Source organism: Homo sapiens, chromosome 8 (assembly GCF_000001405.40).
Source record: "Homo sapiens chromosome 8, GRCh38.p14 Primary Assembly".
Classification (NCBI taxonomy): Eukaryota; Metazoa; Chordata; class Mammalia; order Primates; family Hominidae; genus Homo; species Homo sapiens.
In genome coordinates this window covers 128,973,965-128,990,015 of record NC_000008.11, presented here as the reverse complement: position 1 = coordinate 128,990,015, position 16,051 = coordinate 128,973,965, and the positions used below count along the sequence as shown (strand labels likewise).

The window sequence follows — 16,051 nt, the reverse complement described above, 5'->3', positions numbered from 1 at the left end:
TGCAATTATCTTTTCTTTCTCCATGACTGTGTCTCCAAGTATTAACTCCTAAGGAAGAGGAAGATTATTGTGGTTGAGTCCTATTTCCCCCCAAGTGAATTAAGTGGAAATTCTAGCCCTGGTACCTGTGAGTCTGGGCTTATTTGGAAATAGGGTTTCTGCAGATGTAATTGAGATGTAAATTAAGATGAGGTCATGCTGGAATAGGATGGGCCCTTAATCCAACATGACTGACATCTTTCTAATAAGAGGAGAGACACAGAGACAGACACCCAGAGAAGAAGGCCACGTACAATAGAGGCAGAGATTGAAGCGATGCAGTTGCAAATCCAGGAATACCAAGGACTGTCAGAAACCACCAGAAACTTGGAGGAAGCATGGAGGGGTTCTCCCCCAGAGCTTTCAGAGAGAACGTGGCCCTGCTGACATCTTAACTTCAGACTTTTAGCCTCTGGAATGATAAGAGAATAAATTGTTGTTTGTACCTACCCAGTTGTGGCACTTTGTTACAGCAGTTCTGGAAACTAACACAGAGCTTGTCTTATTTAATATCATATTTAAAGTATAAGAAAGAAGGGAACAACAGACACTGGGGACTCCTTGAAGGAGGGGGTGGAAGGAAGGAGAGGTTCAGAAAAACCACAACCACCAACACCACAACAACAGCAACTGTTGGGTACTATGCTTAGTACCTGGGTGACAAAAGAACTGTATCCCAAACTCCTGAGTCATGAGTTTACCTGTATAACAAATTAGTATCTATACTCCAGAACCCAAAATAAAGGATAAAATATTTTTTTAAAAAAGCTTTTATACTTGTTTCTGCATACCCCCTAAAAATAAAGTGTCTACATAATTTTTGGCACTTAATAGACAGTCAAATGATTGTTTAATTGCCATTTAAATGAATATGAAACCATCTAGAATGTTCCACTGCTTTTCTCCCTTCTTATTCACCATCTATCCAAATCCTACTCGGCCACATGACCCCACATAATTGCCTGTCATCCTAGTCAATCAGCTCTTTCTGCTGTGGATTCTTAAGCCATTTTATTGTTTATTATGATTTTAATCCTAGATGTTTCAATGCACCGCAATGCACACCTTGCCTTTCCCAAATATTCCACACATTGAAGTTCTGGAGGAAACTCTATCTAGGCTATCTAGCATTAGGTATGTGTGAATCATATCACATTCAGTATATAATGTAATCAAAACTACTTCCGGCATTGTCCACATTTTCAAATGATAATGATAAAAATAAGTCTCAGATTAATAAAATCGCTCACCTATGACATCAGGACTAGGAAGGCACAGAGTCAGGGTTGAAACCCAGGCTTCTCTGGTTCCATATTGTGCTCTTTCCCTTTCTGCCTTTTAGTAAGACTTCAGAATGGTCACCATTGACCAAAGTCCTCAATTGCCCTTGCTGTCACTGAAGAAGAAATCTGAGAACTTTGACCGGTAACAAGAGCTGAACGTTACAGATATGTGGGACATATAGACCCTGCCAACCTAGAGAGCTGGAAGCTAGAGGCTGCAGCAAACACACACAGAACCCTCTTGTCATCTCCTGTAATGAGGTCCAGCATATCCCAGCTTTCTATGGGATGGCTCACGCTGATGCACTTGCCCCAAAAAGCAATGCAACTTTTAGTAAGTACAGGTTGAATTACGATCAGTAAATGGTAGCAGAAAAGAATGACACTGAGAAAGTTACCCATATGCTGTCTTCATGCTTTTTCCAGCCATTATCCTGCGATTCTTCCTTCCCAGCATATACTTAACTGGCTGGAGAAGGGGACTTTTAATAATAAAAACCTAGCATTCCTAAGCTGTAAGAAAAATGTACAAATGCTATCAATTCTACCCTTCTAAAGCAAGACCATGTGCCAGAAAACATTTTGTAAACTTCAAAGAGCTACATCAAGAGCTACTGCCATTGATTTAAAAATGTGTGCATGGCATTTCTTGATGATTTTTATAGAGCCAATAGTGGTTTGTTTCCATTATCTTAATCTAGTTATTTTAAATCTGTTTTTATCATGTCAGTATTAATTTTGTTAAAATAGTGTCTTAGTCAGCTAGGGCTACTGCAATGAAACACCACAGACAGGGTGGCTTAAGCTACAGACATTTATTTCTCACAGTTTTGCAGGTTGGAAGACCAAGATCAAGGTGCCAGCAAATTCTCCTCCTGGGGAGGGCCTCTCTTTCTGGCTTGCAGATGACTGCCTTCTCACTGTGTCCTCACACGGTGCAAAGGGAAAGCTCTGACCTCCTCCTCCGATTCTAAGGACAATGATCTCATCATGAGGGTTCCATCCCCATGACTTCATCTACACCTAATTACTTCCCAAAGGCCTCACCTTCAAATACACTGGGGATTATGACTTCAACATATACATTTGGAGGGGACCACGAACACTCAATTCATAACAAATAGAATGTGATTTGAAGCAACAGTTTTTGCTCACATAGCAAAATCCTTTCTATTCTATAAATTAAAGAGGAGATAGTGTGGAATACTTAATTCTGAATATTCATAGAGGCATAAAATGTTTATCTTATTATTCTAAAAAGCCTAAATATATATTCTAGAAATCAGTGGAATGAGGACTGTAGGTTTTATTCCTGGCCCCAGCACTTACAAGCTGTGTCATTTTGGATAGGTTTCCAAACCTCTTAGAAGAGGCTCATACTGGCCAAATCTGGGACAATTTGCACATCAATACAAATGATGATAGTAGAGGATTATAGCCCACTGAATAAAATAGGAATCCATGTGTCTTCAATAAATAAATAGAGAGATGATAAGGTTTTAGATACCAATAATATAGATGTAGATGAAATGATGGGGTCGCCCAATCTTTTGACAACTGTCATAGAAAGAATTCATTCGGGTAAGAAACACCAATGGATGCTAAAACTAGGAAATGAAAATGGAATTTGGAACAGGATTTTGCACCTTGTCAAAGAAACTTCTCACAAAATATCTGTTAACTACAAAGGTGAGAAAAGTAATTTTAATGTAGAAAAACTGGCTGACACCAAGTGATCAAAATTAATATATTAATGAGGCAAATGGGCATCATGTGCCACCAGAAAAGAGGCAATGGGAACACAGCATTACTGGTGTGAAGTTTTGGCCAAAAACACATAACCTGGATCTAATCATGGTCAAACATTGGACAAACCCAAATGGAGAGACACTGCAAAATAACTTGTCTATGATCTTCAAAAATATCAACATAAGAAAAGTCTAGGAATGGCTGAGTGGCTGGTTCAAGTTAAAGGAAATCAGAGAGATAGGACAACTTGGAGCAATGTGTGATACTGGATTGGAACTTTTTACCATAAAGAAAGTTATTAGGAAAATGATAAAACTTGAATGGCATCTCTGGGTAAATGGGGATCCAGCAATTCTTTGCGCTAATCTTATAATGTTTTTCAACTTTGAAATTGATTAAAATAATATGTAAAAACATTGTAAAAAGATAAAAACAATGCAAATTATATAAAACACTACATATTGTGATGAGAGGAAACTAGTTGTGTAAAGAATTTTGAATTAAATATTAGATTAAATATGAATTTGGGGAGACTTTAGTTACCACTGTTATTTTTGAGAATAATAAAAGATATTTCTGTTCTTGATAGATTAATGCTAGTGCTTGTGAAACAAAATCTCAAAACTTAAAATGGCCTGTTGCTTTGATCTTCTAAATCCTAGTGTTATTTGAGAGAAGCTGAAAAGTAAATGAAATTTTATTCAATCATGTACATAGTGCATTTAATTATAGGCATTATGTAGGGGACACATGAAAGCATTCTGGTGGTATCTTTTGTGTTTCTTCTATGATAAGAACAATGGAATTGTTTTGTGCATGTAGGAGCGGACACATCTTTCCAGGGGATAATGCAATTTAGAGGCTCTTTGTGTTTTAAGTGTTTCTCAGGACTGATTAAAGCCTTGCACTTGGATTGGAAAGCGAATGCTCATCTGTCTAATGAATGTCCTTTCATTGCATGAACTTAAGTAGGAGTTAGAGTCATGACAGGATTACACAAAGGCAGGTGGCCCATGAGAAGGGCTGAGGCAAAGTTAATAGGAAAAGTCTTGGCATTTAGAGTTTGAGAGATATTTACAGAGTTATTGGAAATTAGATTTTCTTATGCTTTAATCTATAAAATTAAATATTTCTTCATTGTAATGTGTATATTTTACTCACCATTTTATCCCTATTGCCTAGAGCAGCATCAATAAATAACTGGTAGATGAATGAGTGAATTGGAAACTGAATAAATAAATAACAATGAATGATTGAAATGAATTATTGTTTCTCTTATTGACTATTAATTTCAACCTCTCTTCTTCCATTTCCAACTTTCTAGAGCAGAGAAACTACAACTACAACTAAGGGGCTAAATCTAGCTTACTGCCTGTTTTTATAAGTAAAGTTTTATTGGAAAACAGCCATACCCACTTGTTTATGTATTGTCTATGGCTATGTTCATGATATAATAGCATAGCTGAGTACTTGCAACACAGACTACATGATCCATGAAGTCTACAATGCTTACTGTCTGGCTCATTTTACAGAATTGTTTGCTGACCCTTGTTCTAGAGCATGATCAAGTGCTTAGGCTTTAAATAATGGTAATGCCCAATAGTGGGAGCCTGATGGGATTTGCTATCAGGATATGATTCATAACAACAATTTCAACTTCTTAGGACCCCTTGCAGGCAACTCATAAAAGAAAATCTTCCTGTTTGCTTTTTATGCTATGCATTAGGAAAACAGGAGCTTCTCTGAGTATTTAAAAATAAGTAATTTGAAACAGATAACTGTTTACAAAGATGTGAGAAGGAATGGTGGGACAAAGATGGGAAGGTCACAGGTTAGTAACTGCAGAAAACAATAAGACTGCCCCAAAAGCTGCAAAAAAAAGAAAATAATGAATGATGTTACTCGGAGCCCACAATCGTTGCACCACAACATTGGTGCTGTTGGACTAGCTGCCTGAGTAGGAGCCCACAACTACACATGTGCCACCAGCACAGCTGCTGCCACTACCAAAGGTGCCACCAAAAGATGTAATTAACATGCTTTTTCCTCCCTTTCACTTTCCAGGCTCCCATCAGTGGCCCCTGCCACGGCATAAGCTAACACAAAGACAGCTGGCATTTGGTGTCCGACAGATGTAGTTTACAGGCTGCTAGCCTCAGAAGTAGAGAGAAGTAGGAACAATGATTGTAAAGCTGAGTGACAACAGGAACTACCTGCAAAATGCTCATATTTAACTAGCTTGATCTTGAAGTTTATAGTCTCATATGAAGATCCTCCCTAGTAGTGGTGGTGGTGGTGGTGGTGGGAGGGAAAGGTGCCATAAAAAAACACACAATGGGGCCGGGCACCGTGGCTCACACCTGTAATCCCAGCACTTTGGGAGGCCGAAGCGGGCGGATCACGAGGTCAGGAGATCGAGACCATCCTGGCTAACACGGTGAAACCCCGTCTTTACTAAAAATACAAAAAATTAGCCGGGGGTGGTGGCGGGCACCTGCAGTCCCAGCTACTTGGGAGGCTGAGGCAGGAGAATGGCATGAACCTGGGAGGTGGAGCTTGCCGTGAGCCGATATTGCGCCAGTGCACTCCAGCCTGGGCGACAGAGCGAGACTCCTTCTCAAAAAAAAAAAAAAAAAAAAAAAGACACAATGAGAGGGAACAGTATATAAGAAGTCAAAGAGTTGTGAAAGAGTATATAAAGTAAGAGAATTTGTTATCCCTTGCTTGAAAATATATGATGTGTAGAGAGAAGCACTACTTGTCAAACTAGAGAGATAAAGTTGGATATGGGAGAAATAGTAAATCTCATGCCTAATTTATAAATAAGAAATAGACTTCATTATGAAATTTTACCATACTTTGTTCATTTTGGGTTGGATATTCTTCACCAATAGCCAGATTTCAGCCACCTAGGCCAAGTGTCTGTAAAAGGGACCAAAGGAAGTTTCAGTTTTTATGATGACTCAGATCGATTAGCAATGGCTGCCTGTAGATCTGAATGGTGCAGGATTCTGAGCAACTTCTAGGTTCTTGGGAAAGAGTACCAGGTTTGATTTATGATGTCTACTACCAGCATAGGAATGGGACAACGTGTGCTGATGTATAATAGTGTACATACATGAGGATGTTCAATAATTTAGTCATTTTTGATGACAGCAAAAGGATTTGTTAAGAGTATATGCCATGACAAGGTAAGTCTTCAATATATAGTTTTATAGAAAAAAACAAGCAGTTTTATAGAAAAAAAAAGTCTACAGTGGGTTCTTGGATTAGCCTCCAATTGTTCTTTGTTAAAAAAAAATGGTGACAGCATGGATAAGTGTTGTAAGGGAACAGTTTCTGGTTGTTCTGACTCAGGCACCCTTCTTAGATTACCTGCTGCATTCGTTGCACGGGATCTTGCCTGGGCAAGATATGTTGCTTTAGGACACCTCTTCAGAAATTCTTTGTATAGAAGTATAAATTTTAGTCCACAAAATCTTATACGAATCAAACATATCACTTTTTAAATACATTAACTTAATTTTTACATCGTTCCAACTATCCTGGTTGTGAGTAGGAAAGCAAAACCAAGTGAATTAAGAGCATCACAGCACATATTTCTCAGGGTGGATTTTAGAATAACAGAGACCCTGCCGAGTCCTGGGGAGGCTGATCTTGTAAGACATTTACTGAGCCCTGTGCTGTCGTTGTCTTGCCTACAAGTCCTCTTTGGGTCTTAGGTACACATGGTGAATTAACTGATCCACCTCATGCTGGGGTATGGAAAATTTCTGGGATGCTATCAAGAGTGCTACACACACACACACACACACACACACACACACACACACACACACACACAGCTATTTCCCTGCAGCTGCCTTCTTCTTATCATCCTGGAGCCTCAACTGACAAGCAAAGCACACATCCTCACGGCTCTGCTTTTGTAAAGCAATCTTACTCTTTTTTCTCTTTCACAGAGGTGGCCAGAAAGGAGAAAGGAATTTAGGGACCTTCACTGCTGCATTCTGGCTCACTCCCTCCAGCTCTACTTCCCTAGTTTTTGAAGTTGGGGAGCATTGACTACTTGAATTGTGATGCAGGAAGAGTAAGGGTGAGAGGTGAGGAAAGCCTTTAGCATAAGAATATTCTCAACATATTTGCTTCTATAATTACCAAAACAATAGCCTTTAATTACTTAAGCTTTATATGGCAATGCAGAATTTTATGCAAATGCTGCAGGTCAGACATGTATTTTTTCAGATCTCACTGTTCACTTCCTTATGTCCCTCTTTGGTTTTTCTTTCACAGAAGAGAAAATAAGTGAATGAACGATCTGGGTTAATACCTTCATTTTGTAGATGAGAAAGCAAACAGACAAACTTAACCCCAAATTCACACACTGATTTGTGGCAGAGCCAGTAAGAACCAAGTCTGTGGATTCTGAGGTCAGAATATTTCCTCCACAGCTTTGCTTCTCCAAATGTGGGGAGCATGAAAAAAATGGAGGGAAATGATTCCAATCAACATTTTACAAAAGAAGATACACAAACATCTAGCAGTGCATTGTTAACTAACAGGTTAATTAAGTTCATTACTCTTTAGAGAAATACAAGTTAAAACCACCAGGTTAAGCCACTCCATGCTCACTAGTATGACAGAAATAAAAGAGACAAAATGCCAACTGCTCAAAAGGATACAGAGCAATTACACCCTTAAACACTGTGATAGGAACACAAAGATGTTTGTTGATGTCATATAAATTTAAATCTATACTTACCATATGACTCAGCAATCCTATACTTCTAGATATTTATATGAGAAATAAAAACAGATATCCATAAAAAATTAATATAAGAATGTTCATAACATCCATATGCATAATGGCCTAAAACTTAAAACAACCTGTACCTCTATGAACAGAGGAATCAAATAAAATTCTAATATATTCATAATTTGGAATAATGTTTGCAAGAACAAACTTCTTAAACCTATAACAGTGTGGCTGAATTTCAAAAATATGATGAGCTAAGCAAACCACACACAAACATATACACATACATAAACACTCACACACACATATTTTGTATAATTACATTTATATAAAGCCCGAGGACAGGAAAATATAACCAATAATAACAAGCTATCTCTGAGCAAAAGTAAGAGTTTAGCAAAGGGCACTAGGGAACATTCTCAGATGATAGAATTGTTCCATATTTTATTTCTGGTGATAATGACCAGGTAGGTTCAGTTGGGTCAAATGAGTTAAAATCATGACAAACTCAATATCCAGGATTTGTACATTTTATTTTGTAAAAATTATGTGTGGTAGAAAAACATCAGAAATAAAGTAATATAACAGTGGTATTAAAAAAATGTAAGATTCCAGGCCAACTCTGGGCACACTGCCTATGAGTTTGCCCTGCTTCTCATGGAGCAGTAAAAAACAAACAGCAACAACGACAAAAGTAAGATCCTGAAATGAATCTGGGGAGAGATACAGATGTGGCTTCTTTAACTCTGCCAATCAGAGATTCTAGTAAGATAAGTCTTGGCAAAGCCGAGAAATTTGCCTGGTAATAAGCCTCCTTAGGTGTTTCTGACACAGACGTCCAGAGGACCACACTTTGAGAAACACCACTCTTAATTTTACTGCTGAGAAATATTCTTAACACTATTTTTAATGTTTCCCTTTGATTGCCCGCTTTCTACTTCTGTGATGTTGGGTAACTTTTCTCCACATTTCAGCACTTATACCAGTCTAAAACAATCCTGTCCCATAGTCTGAATATCTGGATTGGTTTCCCTGGCCCACTAACTGGGTTTGATTATGTGAACTCTCAGAACATATTAAAAACCCTTAATTAAAACACTTGTAGGAATCCACATTCTCTTTGGTGGCACATATTTGCTTCAGGCCCGAAACCTATGTACCTGTCCTGTAATTTTTATGTTGTTCTTCTGCTGCTGTTGCTTCTCAACTGGAAAGCATGAATGAGAAAATAACGCTTTGTAGGTGCAACACCTGCCAAAGAATGTTGCCCATAATATATGCTTAATAAATGGTGTTGGCTTGAATTGGAATGGATAGTTAAGAAAAAAAAGAAATCAATAAAGCAGCACTTTGACAGTATGAGCTTGAGAAGAGCTTCTTCATTTCAAATAAGTGAAGACACTTGAGACTTACTTTTTATAGCACATGTTATGTGTCTGGCACTGTGTAGTTACTTTGTTTTCTCATCAAATCCACATGTTTACCTTATAAAGTAGATACATATTATCCTCATTTACAGATGAGGAAATTCAGGCTTGAAGTGGCTGAGTGGCTAAGATCAAATAAATATTGCATCACTGAGATTTAAAAAAAAAATTTTGTGAGGCAGAAATAAACAACCAAAACTATTTTAGAATCTTAGAACAACAAATGTTTACTTTTTTGTGGGTCAGACTTGGCCCTGTTTTATACATATTCATATTGAAGAAAATAGACTGAAAGAGAATGCACTATCCAGGACATATTATCTTCACAGGAGAGATCACTATGCAGCCATGCGATGGCTCTGAAGTTGCGCTAGAACATCGAATCAGCTCTTCTCCCATTGGCAACGACAAAACTGTCTAATCCCCTTAAAGGAAATGGTGAAGCGAACACTTAGGAAAAAATAAAATACAGTCTGCTAAAAATGGTAACTGGCAAAGCCAGGATTTAAAGTCAGATATGTCTTGTTAAGGCCCTTTCACTTACCACTTAAATAATCCATTCATTCATTCACTGATTCACTAATTCAATAATTATATTTTAGTCTATAAGTAGCCTGTAGTGACTGAGAAGATGTGATTTGGACCCAGAAAGATCTGTCTCGGAATCCTATCTCTTTCATTTATTGACTATGCAATAATAGGAATTATATTCCACTGCAAAATGAAGTTGAAAATTTTAAACATTTATCCTGAAAATAATGACAGGAGTACAAACTCCACCTGTGCAAGTGTGAGATCTTCCATTCACAGCTTGGAACACATGAACCCCTGGAAGTTTTTTTTATCTTTCTGGCATTTCCTCTTGTTTCTATGGGTCCAAGATTTTAGGATTCTGGAGATTAAGAATATACTAACTAAACAATTTTGGAAATGGATTTTATTTTGACACCTAAACACATTAAACAAACTAGCATCTACTAGAACAATCATTTCACATTTTAAAAGATAGGATAAAGGGTATACTTAAAATTATTTGGAATGCAGAGAAAAATTAAAAATCAGCACAAAATATATTTTATGTTATTAATAAGTAAAATTGATTTCTTGTTCTCTTGCAAGTTATTCAGCTAGAAATACTTTCATTTTTATCATATTATCATTAAAAGTGTTCACATAGGTATGAAGATGAAGATTAATTTTACATTCTTAATATAATTTCACTTGATATAAAATATTTTGAGAACACTGAGAGAAGCCAATATGTGACATCTTATTACCTAAACTTCTCCTATCTGCTGGTCTAGAAAGCAAGCAGTTCAAATGTCTGACTATATTTTTTTGTTTTGTTAAGTTTTGAGAAAAGTGTTAGCCTGTGGCCTGATTTCCCAAAAATGAGCAGCCAGGAATGTCTGAGAAGGATGCTTGCCAGGACCTAAGAACACTTTGTCATGGAGTAAGATGGTCTGAAGACCTGTGTTTTAGAAGGGTGTCCTACTGAATTCAGGAGCTGAAGAGGCAACCCACTGGTGGTGATTACTCAAATTGATTTTAGGTCTGATTAATTTAGTTCAAAAACATTGAGTGGTGACAATGTGCCACATATTATTTTTAGGCTCTGAGAATGTGACACTATGCAAAACAAGAGTCTTGCCTTGTAGATTCTAGTGATGTGGCTATAGCCACATATGTGACTGCTGGATAGTTTTCTAACAAGTCCAAAAGCAGCATACCTCAACCATCATCGGTCAGCTTTCCTCTCCTTCTTCATTAACTTAACAAAGCATTAGCAGTAGTAGCACTACAAGACTGCAACCAGTTGTTGCCTGTTTAAATCCTGCGCTGTGACTTAAGAGGATGTAGTCCTGTACAAATCTGATCCTGCCACTCTTCTGCTAAAGGTCCTTCCTTTAGCTACTCTGTAATCTGGTGCACAAGGCTCTGCGGCATTTGTCCCTTGACCAAACTCTCATAGCACCACTTAGCAGGCAGTAGTTTTTTTCATTTACTGCAATTGGCCAGCTTTTTTCATGTTTTGCAATCTTTGTCCATGTTTTTCCCTCTATCTGTGGTGGTCCTTCCTCTACTCTATACCTGGACATCGGCTATTCATCCTTTAGAGCTAATCTTAAAAGTCGCTTCTTCTGAGGTACCATCATAAGATATTCCTTCCCAATTGATCATTTTCTTACAGCATCCTCCACTTTTTCTTCATTACGCTTATTACTGTTTGCACATTTATTTACTTGTGCATTTTTATGTTTAGTGTGTCTCATTTTTCTAGAATAAAAACTTGAAAAGAATAAGGGTATTTTATAATTTCCTTGTCACCCTATACCCAGGATACAGTGCTTGGAGCCTCCAGCTTCTCCCATCTCTACTTTACATTGTATTGTGTTTCTAGCTTTTTCCTGAGGGTATTTGAAGAGTCTGACAATTTCAGTTGTAAATCTTGAAGAAGTACATGGATTTAAAATCATGTAGTGCTGATTTGTTAATAACTCTCAAGCTAGGAATATTTGAAAATGGAAGGGCCCTTGTTGAATTAGAGTCTTTGTAGAATTAGAGCCCTAATTCTACTCAAAAGAATGAGGACCTTTTCTAGTGAGATGAATGTAGAGGATCAGGATCCATTCTTCTGGTGAATAAGGATTAGCAAGATCTTGGGACTCAGTAAAGCAGAACTAAGGAGAGGTAGCGTAACCAGAGACAGTCTTGCACAAAAGAGCCAGCAATGAGTTGAAGTGTACTGACTGTAGGATCAGGCATGAATTGAGTTCTTCTGGGACTCAATTGGTTTTTGGGTTTACTGTGAATCAAGAAAAATTCTGTTTTAGAGCACCATCATTTACTTCATCATCAGCACTGTCATCATTATAACAACCAAAGCTGGCCTTACTGAAAGCTTTCTCCATGATAGAGACTGGGTCAGGTACATTAAATGAATTACTTCATTCAATTCCACAGTGATCTTATAAGGTAGGCCTTATCTTTAGTCCCATATTAAAGATGGGAACACTGAGACTTGGAAAACTGAATTAAGTTGCTCAGTGCCATAACACTAGTAAGAGATACAACAAGAATTGGAAATCATGACTGATGCAAGCACCCATGTTCTTAACTACTGTATTTCTTTGTTATTATTATTATTATACTTTAAGTTCTGGGATACGCGTCCAGAATGTGCAGGTTTGTTACATAGGTATACATGGTGGTTTGCTACACCCATCAACCCATCATCTACATTAGGTATTTCTCTTAATGCTATCCCTCCCATAACCCTCCATCCCCCAACAGGCCCTGGTGTATGATGTTCCCATCCCTGTGTCCACATATTCTCATTATTCAACTCCCACTTATGAGTGAGAACGTGCAGTGTTTGGTTTTCTGTTCCTGTGTTAGTTTGCTGAGAATGATGGTTTCCAGCTTCATCCATGTCCCTGCAAAGGACATGAACTCATCTTTTTTAATGGCTGCATAGTATTCTGTGCTGTATATGTGCCACATTTTCTTTATCAAGTCTATCATTGATGGGCATTTGAGTTGGTTCCAAGTCTTTGCTATTGTGAACAGTGCTGCAATAAACATACATGTGCATGGATCTTTATTTTCTTTAAGACAAGTCATGCTCAGCAGTGATGATGGCAGCTTCAGGATCCAGGTCTAGCCTTGTGCTTTAATTCAAAGCCCTCCTGGGCAGGGACATTGGTAGCTACTGACTTATGTCCTGAACTTCTCCGGGTTGGCTCAGTAACTGAAGAAGTCTTTTTTTCCACAGCAGAGTTCATCTGTGAGAAAGTAGGATTGACTTCTTGCAGCAGCAGAAGGAAGCCAGAGACTGATATTCTCAGAGGGCAGCAGGCAATTGCCCAAAGGATAGGGGAAGCACTGTCTCCAAGGAACCCCTCTTCATCCTCTTACAGTTCTGAACCTTAGGAAATTATTTATTAGCTAGAACTCAAATTTATCTTACTGTATTTTGTAGCCATTGGCCATGATAAATAGTTTTTAGCAGATTTCAGGGCAATCATTATTCCCATGTCTTAGTTCACTTTGAAGTTCCTATCAATGAAGAGGGGGTCCCTTTATCATTTAAATCTAGTGATATTTGATTAATGTTTCAATTGTTCAAAAGACTTTCTTCAGAGCTCATTTGTTTGATTCTTACAGCAACACTTCTAGAAGAAAGGTATTATTATTCTTCTTCTTTTCTAGATAAAAATACTGCAGATCCAAGATGCACCACAACCTGTACAAAGTAGCGTACCCAGCAAGTGGCAGAGCTAAGACTAGCTCTAATTCCAGAATCATCCAGGATTTCTAAAGTGATCATTTCAAGGTTATTTTATCTTCATCTCATCTCTCTAATTGCTCATTGATACCTAGTGGGATATACTCTGAATCTGATGTGATAGTCATTTTGGCTGTGGAGGGAGAGTTCCTTCTCATGCACATACATTTACTATTTATAAAACTAGTGTGGCTAGGCTGACACAGCCAGGGTCATGATTTCTCAGGAAAATGGCAGACTAATAGAGAAAAAGGTCATAAATATCATCAAATACAAGGCCTGACATTTACCAAGGACAATTGTTTTATCATAAAAGGCTCGGGTTTTTTGGAGTTTTTCCATTAAGCTTCCACAAAGCATCTTGCCTCTTACCAAGGAGGAGGAAAGGAAAACAAAGTGTGTACGTGTGTGTGCGGATGGGTGAAAGGTGGGTGGGGAGTAGAGGTAACAGATGAGAAGAGGAAGACCAAAGGAGACATTCCTGGGGTTTCAGGAGTAAACTGAGCTCCTAATTCTTTGTGACCAGGGGTAGGATTAAGAGTTCAAAAGGGCAGGTCATACAAGGGCAGGGGGCCAGGCTGGGTCTTGCAGGGATGTGACCCAGGAAATGCTGGCAGGCTGGGCTCCCATCCTTCCCCAGCAGGCCTCCAATTAGGATTTAATGGCCAAATGTGGAATGCATTAGGACATCTGAGCAGAAAGTCTGTGTTCAAAGGAGCCGAATCTTTTTGGCTAAGTAGAAAAACATTCCTCCCTGGCCAGTTTCCCCCTGAACCTTGCTAATTCTGGGGACCTCACTGGCAGTGGTGCCTTACAAAGCATCATTTGCAAGTGGTCTAGGCATAAACATCCTCTTTTCCTTGAAGATGACATAAAGAGAAAGCAACAGGCCCACCAGCTCTCTCTGGTATTTGGGGCAGTGTGAGGAATATAAACAAATGATTGACCCAGAATTCTTTGTGTCTGTGCATCTGGTGAATACATATCCAATTGAAAGAACCTAAGTAGACAATGCATGTATGTCAATATACATGGATATATCCAAGATAGAGTTTAAATACATGTGTACCTCAGTGTCTGCATGTATTTATTTATTTGTTACTGCTATATTTATTTATTTATTACTTTATACCCCGCCTTGTCAATAATCCAAGAGCTTGCCTAGGGTATATTCTTTGTGTTTGTGTGTGTATGTGTGCGTGCGCACATTGATACAAGTGTGTATAGATGTAAGTCAGTAAAAAGAGAAGGGGTAATACACAAATGTACAGAGGTAAATGTGTGAATCTGAATCTGTGTAGATCTTACACCTCTGAGTGTGACTAAATATACGGATTTGGGAGGGTATGTTAGTGTTCACATAAATGCTTCTGGAAGTAAGGATAACACAGTGGGGAAAGGTCTGCTCCGTGCAGATGAGCATGTGCAGTTGAGTATTCTGAAAGTGTGTATGCACATATGTATCAATGGATGTCTCTGTGGTGACATATTTTGCTTTGCATGTGTTGTTTTGTGTGACCATGAATGATAAATCACATCATGCACGTAGTATCTGTTAAAAGTGTGTATACATGGGTGTGTATGGTCCTTTTGATGTCTTTGTGTGCCACTGTGAAAGGGTGCAAATAATGTATGAATCCAACAAAGCTTGGATATGCATATTTATGATTATGTGTAATGATTTAATATGTATAAGTCATGAATGTGTGACTACATGAATATTTATACCTCTGGCAGGGCCTGTACTGGGGGTGTAGATTGTGGAGGACATGCCTAGTTTGGGGAGCATGAGATTCTGGATGTATCTGTGCAGTGAGTTAAAGAACATGCCTGTATCTTTGCTTGTGATTTTCCCATCCTACAACACACAAGGATGAATACCTAAATTTCAGCTTAGAAACGAAGCTGCTTCTGCTCTGGTCTAGGCCAGCTGCTCTTTTGGAGTTTAAATAAATGACACACGAAAATATGTCCCATTTCCGCCTAACAATATGATAATGTGCTTGTACACACACACACACACACACACACACACACACACACAAACTATACACTACACTTTCTTTGGTATAAAGCAAGTGATCAAATGAATTTTATCTTGAGCATTTTAGTGCTATCTTATTAGCCCTAAATTTGGGGTGACCAGCTTATCCATGTATGCCTTGGACTTTCCTTGTTTTAGCACTGAAAGCCCCCCATTCCAGAAAACTCGCCAGTCTTGTACAAACCAGGTCAGTTTGACCCCTACCTGAATTAGTTGGTGGTAGACTTCAGAACAGGGAAACTGAGTCTGGGCCATTTTTCATGCATGGAGCTCCCGGCCTCTTAAGCACAACATAGAGCATAAAAGCATGGAAATTTGCAGCGTCACAGATCCATTTTGGAACTCAACTGTATCTCTTTTCCAGATGTGTGAACATGGCAAATTTACTCAAGCTTTCTGAGCCTTAGGTTTCTCATCTGTAAAGTGAATATAATAACTGCTTCACAGGGTTATTTTACAGATTAA

The 16,051-nt window shown here is 38.3% G+C and overlaps 6 annotated features.

The window, feature by feature from the left end:
• Window positions 5,796–6,995: an enhancer, noted in NCBI's record as "MED14-independent group 3 enhancer chr8:129995267-129996466 (GRCh37/hg19 assembly coordinates)". NCBI's record gives its function as "activates an origin of replication core promoter dependent on BRD2, BRD4, P300/CBP and CDK7 cofactors, and independent of MED14, by STARR-seq in HCT116 cells {active_cell/tissue: HCT116}" and the evidence as "EXISTENCE:reporter gene assay evidence [ECO:0000049][PMID:35650434]".
• Window positions 5,796–7,061: a biological region, named in NCBI's record as "MED14-independent group 3 enhancer GRCh37_chr8:129995267-129996466".
• Window positions 6,265–7,061: an enhancer, noted in NCBI's record as "OCT4-NANOG-H3K27ac hESC enhancer chr8:129995201-129995997 (GRCh37/hg19 assembly coordinates)". NCBI's record gives its function as "activates a minimal SCP1, AML or CMV promoter by ChIP-STARR-seq in naive H9 embryonic stem cells {active_cell/tissue: H9 hESC(naive)}" and the evidence as "EXISTENCE:reporter gene assay evidence [ECO:0000049][PMID:30033119]".
• Window positions 13,681–14,457: an enhancer, noted in NCBI's record as "VISTA enhancer hs1877". NCBI's record gives its function as "enhancer in: hindbrain (rhombencephalon)[5/9] | midbrain (mesencephalon)[5/9] | forebrain[5/9] | limb[5/9] | branchial arch[5/9] | eye[6/9] | nose[5/9]" and the evidence as "EXISTENCE:transgenic organism evidence [ECO:0001131][PMID:17130149]".
• Window positions 13,681–14,655: a biological region, named in NCBI's record as "VISTA enhancer hs1877".
• Window positions 13,810–14,655: an enhancer, noted in NCBI's record as "OCT4-NANOG hESC enhancer chr8:129987607-129988452 (GRCh37/hg19 assembly coordinates)". NCBI's record gives its function as "activates a minimal SCP1, AML or CMV promoter by ChIP-STARR-seq in naive and primed H9 embryonic stem cells {active_cell/tissue: H9 hESC(naive and primed)}" and the evidence as "EXISTENCE:reporter gene assay evidence [ECO:0000049][PMID:30033119]".